This window comes from Homo sapiens, chromosome 3, assembly GCF_000001405.40.
Source record: "Homo sapiens chromosome 3, GRCh38.p14 Primary Assembly".
Taxonomy (NCBI): Eukaryota; Metazoa; Chordata; class Mammalia; order Primates; family Hominidae; genus Homo; species Homo sapiens.
Window position 1 is genome coordinate 12,693,444 of NC_000003.12, and position 5,800 is coordinate 12,699,243.

General features: G+C 47.6%; 1 annotated feature.

The window, feature by feature from the left end:
- Positions 703–1,204: an enhancer, noted in NCBI's record as "H3K4me1 hESC enhancer chr3:12735645-12736146 (GRCh37/hg19 assembly coordinates)". NCBI's record gives its function as "activates a minimal SCP1, AML or CMV promoter by ChIP-STARR-seq in naive H9 embryonic stem cells {active_cell/tissue: H9 hESC(naive)}" and the evidence as "EXISTENCE:reporter gene assay evidence [ECO:0000049][PMID:30033119]".

Below are 5,800 nucleotides of genomic sequence, written 5' to 3' on the forward strand. Positions count from 1 at the left end.
AGCCAAGATGGTGCTACTGCACTACAGCCTGGGTGACAGGGCAAGACCCTGTCTCAAGAAATAAATAAGTATAAATACATACATACATACATTATTTTATTTAATCCTCCCAATAGTCCTATAAGGTTGGTTTTATCTCCATTTTACTAGTAAGGAAACAAGGGATCAGAGAGTGAAGTTACTTGCCTAAGGTCACACAGCTAGTGAGGGCTAGGGACAAGGTTCACACTGCTCATGTTCTTTTCACTCCAGTTGCTCTGTCATCTTAGGCCATCTACTCGGGTGTGCCTTTCTCAATCACCCAAGTCACGCTTTGGTCCACTGAGAATGGAAAAATCCAGCCCAGTTCCAGATGCCAGGCCCCAGCTGGAGCTCCTGCCTGACTGATGCTGCCACATGATAGGCTGATTTATAGAGAAGTAGGAGAGCATTCCCCACACCCAGCGTCACCCTGATGCAGGATTCCTAAGGTGGAGGGAGAAGCAGGCTGGCAACTAGCTCCGCCTCCTGAGAAGTTGGTGGGGGCTGGGGAAAGTGCGGTGGAGAGAAAGACCACTGAAGCCCCACGGAGAGATGCCAGGGCTTACATTTACACAGGGGCATAAACATAGTGGCCCCACAATTCCTTCTAACTCTGTCCCTTGGGTAAGCCCCAGAGTCTCCTAAGTGCATCCACGCAGGCTTGTTTTAAGGCGCCATCGACGTGAGCAAAGTGCGCAGTGACCTTTTCTAAATAGATCTCATTGGGCTGTGACTTTGAAAGCGGGCCAAAGTCCCCAACCCAAAATAGACAGCCTACTGCCCTGTTATTTTCATGGCTTAAAAAAAAAAAAAAAAAAACCCTCCAAAGCAAAGCAACTATTTTTATCACAGGCCTCTCTTAGAATAGCAACACCTATTTACTTGGAGGGAGGAGACTGCAGGGACAGTTTCAGAGCTGGTGACTGTACCAGACAGGGTGGATGAGCACACACAGAGGGAATCCTCCTACCCATCACAGGGCCTGGCTGGCTCCGGTACATCTACCTCCAGTACTTACACACAGGTCCCAGCCCACCCCGCACCATGCACCTCATTTTTTTTTTTTTTTGAGACAGAGTCTTGCTCTGTCACCCAGGCTGGAGTGCAGTAGCCGATATCTTGGCTTACTGCAACCTCTGCTTCCTGGGTTCAAGCAATTTTCGTGTCTCAGCCTCCCTAGTAGCTGGGATTACAGGCACCTGCCACCACGCCCATCTAATTTTTTTTTATTTTTAGTGGAGCTGGTTTTGCCATGTTGGCCAGGCTGGTCTTGAACTCCTGACCTCAGGTGATCCACCCATCTGGCCTCCTACAGTGCTGGGATTACGGGCATGAGCCACCACGCCCGGCTGTACCTCACTTTATAAACAGCTCCTGCTCCTCCTCACTTTATAAACAGCTCCTGCTCCTCCAGGCTTTGCTTTCATGTTTGGAGCTGCAGCCCTCAGACCCTTTATTTCTCTCCACCACTAAAATTCGGATCTTCTTAGGGCCGGAGGCTCACCAAATCTAAAGAGCATACATCAGCCATGAATAATCAGTCGTAGCTGAATTTTTATTGAGCACCACAGAATGCCAGGGACCACGCTAAGCATTTCTCATGTATTATCTCACTGAATTTTTAGGCCTGCTCTATGAGGTTGGGCTATGAACAGTCCCATTTTACATAAGGTAAGACTGAAACTTAGATAAAGTCATTTGCCCATAATCACACAGTTAAGCAGAGGAAAAGCTGGGAGATCTGAACCCAGGCTTAATGACTCCCGGCTGTGAGCTCTGGATCATTCTTTCATCATTGTAGGATTTTATTTTATTTTATTTTAGAGACAGGGTGTTGCTCTGTCACCCAGACTGGAGTGCAGTGATGCAATCATGGCTCACTGGCTGGGCATGGTGGCTGTCGCCTATCATCCCAACATTCTGGGAGGCTGAAGTAGAGGATTGCTTGAGCTCTGGAGTTTGCGATAAGCCTGGGCAACATGGCAAAACCCCATTACTACAATAAAAAGAAAAAAAATTAAAATTGGCTGGGTAGGTGCAGCAAACCACCATGGCACATGTATACCTATGTAACAAGCCTGCACATTCTGCACATGCATCTTGGTTGTTGTTGTTTTTTGTTGTTTTTTTTTTAAGAAGAAGAAATAAAGAAAAAAAAAGAAAGAAAAGAAAAACTGTAAACACTAAAAATGCTTAGTAGTGGTATAGACCCAGCTACTCAGGAGGCTGAGGTGGAGGATTTCTTAAGCTTGGGAGTTCAAGGCTGCAGTGAGCAATGTTCAAGCCCCTGCACTCCAGCCTGGGTGATAGAGACTCTATCTCAAAAAAAAAAAAAAAAAAAAAAAGAAAAAGAAAAAAAAGAAAAGAAAACAAATACTAGTAGTTTATTTTGGGAAAAATAATTAGGAGAACGCTGTCAGTGTCTCTGGTGGGGCAGTGTGGTGTGGTGGTTAATGACACACACTCTAGAGTCAGGCTGCTTGAATTTAAATCTGAGCACTGCTACTTTCTACCTGTGTGACCCTGGGTCATCTATGGAGTGTCTCTGTGCCTTTGCTTTTTTACCTATGGAATAGTACCATCTATCTCATATGATGGACCTGAGGATAAACATGTGAAAAGTGCTCAGGAAACTGAGGCTCAGAGAGGGATAGTGATTCGTCCAAGGTCACACAGCATAGTGACTGGTAGAGCTAGAATTCAAACCTAGGAGTTTCTGATTCCAAAGCCTGTGATTTTCTAAGGCTATTTATGAGTCTAGCACTTTCCCTCTCCAATGGTTCCTCCAACCTCAACATTCTGAGACGAATTATTAAGGAAAAATATTCTCTCTGTGGCATTTCTTCTCTTTTTTGCCTTGAAGTAAAAGCTGTTGGCTACCAACATCATCTCTAAATGAAATGAGGTTTTCCTTCTCAGGACACACAAATGGTTAAATTAAAGGTGGAGCTGGTCTCTGCTACCTGTGCTAGCTGGCAGTCCTCTGCCTACCCTCACCTTCTCTCTGAGCAATTCAGCAAATGCCTATTAGGTGCCCATTCTACCTTGAGGACAGTGCTAACCGTTAAGAAATTATTAGAGCTCTTCAAGCAGAAGGGCAAAAGTTGTGTGGAGATGGAGATGGAACTAACACCTACTCAGCCCCTACTGTATGCCAGGCACATGGAATCTTCACAACAACCCACTTTTTCTTTTTCTTTTTTTGAGATGGAGTCTTGCTCTGTCACCCTGGCTGGAATGTAGTGTCGCAATCTCGGCTCACTGCAACTTCTGCCTCCTGGGTTTAAGCAATGCTCCAGCCTCAGCCTCCTGAATAGCTGGGATTACAGGTGCGCATCACCACACCCGGCTAATTTTTGTATTTTTAGTAGAGATGGGTTTTCACCATGTTGGCCAGGATTGTCTCGATCCCCTGACCTCAGGTGATTTGCCTGCCTTGGCCTCCCAAAGTGCTAGGATTACAGTTGTGAGCCACCACTCCCGGCCAGCCAGTTTTTCTTTTTTTATGTCTTTGAGACAGGGTCTGGCTCTGTCACCCAGGCTGCTGGAGTCCAGTGGCGCGATCTTGGCTCACTGCAAGCTCCGCCTCCTGGGTTCACACCATTCTCCTGCTTCAGCCACCCGAGTAGCTGGGACTACAGCTGCCCACCACCAGGCCCGGCTAATTTTTTTTTGTATTTTTAGTAGAGACGGGGTTTCACCGTGTTAGCCAGGATGGTCTTGATCTCCTGACCTCGTGATCCACCCACCTCAGCCTCCCAAAGTAAGCCACCGCACCAGGCCACTAATTTTTTTTTTTTGTATTTTTTTTTTTTTGAGACGGAGTCTTGCTCTGTCGCCCAGGCTGGAGTGCAGTGGTGTGATCTTGGCTCACTGCAAGCTCCGCCTCCCGGTCTCACGCCATTCTCCTGCCTCAGCCTCCGGAGTAGCTGGGACTACAGGGGCCCGCCACCACGCCCGGAGAATTTTTTGGATTTTTAGTAGAGATGGGGTTTCACCGTGTTAGCCAGGATGGTCTCGATCTCCTGACCTCATGATCCACCCACCTTGGCCTCCCAAAGTGCTGGGATTACAGGCGTGAGCCACTGCGCCCAGCTTTTTTAATATTTTTTGTAGAGACATGGTTTCACCATGTTGCCCAGGCTGGTCTTGAACTCCTGACCTTAAGCAATCCGCACGCCTTGGACTCCCAAAGTGCTGGGATTACAGGTGTGAGCCACCAGGCCCGGCCAACAACCCACTTTCTAAACTATATGGAATTTCCTGAGTATTACCTGTGAAGTAGGTATTATTCCCATTTTATAGCTGATAAACCAGAAGGTCTGCAAGAAGAATTTCCTCCAAGCCACATGGGTTGTAAGAGAGAAGTTGCATCTCACACCCAAAACTTATAATCTAAAAATTATCCCTAGACCTTAGTTAGCATCAAAGTGACCTGGGGGTTTGTTAGAAATGTGCTATCTCGGCCAGGCGCGGTGGCTCCTGCCTGTAATCTCCACACTTTGGGCGGCCGAGGCCGGCGGATCACGAGGTCAGGAGATTGAGACCATCCTGGCTAACACGGTGAAACCCCGTGTCTACTGAAAATACAAAAAATTAGCCGGGCGTGGTGGCGGGCGCCTGTTGTCCCAGCTACTCGGGAGGCTGAGGCAGGAGAACGGCGTGAACCCGGGAGGCAGAGCTTGCAGCGAGCCGAGATAGCGCCACTGCACTCCAGCCTGGACGACAAAGCGAGACTCTGTCGCGAAAAAAAAAAGAAAAGAAAAGAAATGCGCAATCTCAGCCAGGCGTGGTGGCTCACGCCTATAATCCCAACACTTTGAGAGGCCAAGATGGGAGGATCACTTGAGGCCAGGAGTTTGATGCCAGCCTGGCCAACACGGTGAAACTTTGCCTCTACTAAACACATAAAAATTAGCCTGGCATGATGGCACGTGCCTGTAGTTCCAGCTACTCGGGAGGCTGAGGTAGGAGAATCGCTTAAACCCGGGAGGCGGAGGCTGCAGTGAGCTGAGATAGTGCCACTGCACTCCAACCTGGGCTCCAGAGCGAGACTCTGTCTCAAAAAAATAAAGCACAATCTCAGGCTGCCCTCCGACTTGCTGGATCAGAAACTGCCTTTTATAGGACCCTGCAATGATTCTCATGCACATTAAAGTTTGAGAAGTACTTCCTTGGTGACAAGGAAAGGCAAGGAGATACAGGGAAAGCCACCAAGGGCCCGGCAGGAGTGGGAGTTGGCAAAGCAACCCCAGCTGTCAAGACTTGGGAGGGTTAAGGCCTGTGGCAAATGAACTCCTTCTCTCCTGACCTCAGTCTCTTCTACTTTTTGTGATGGGACTGCAGAGCTGATAGCTTTCTCTGTGCATTTCAAACTTTGTGCTGACATGCCCCAGATGAGCTGGGTATACTAGCAGCTTTCTAGTGTTTATTCCCTAAGTTCAAAAGTAGTTTGACTTAAACCTCAACTTGAATGGAAAGGAAATCCTAAATTTAAGTAACACATATCAAACATTGGCATATGAGCTCCCTGATGGGTGGCCAACCGTGCCAGTTTGCCCAGGACTAAGGGATTTTGTGGGATGCAGGACTTTCACTGCTAAAACTAGCACAGTCCTGGGCAAACTGGGATGGTTGGTCACCATATCCCTCTTTTCAGCTTCTCAAATGAACACATAGGCAATTCCTTACTTAGCACAGTGATTCTAACACTGGCTACACATTGGAATCACCTGGACACTTTTGGAAAAATAATAATGCCTGCTGACTAACCTAGATG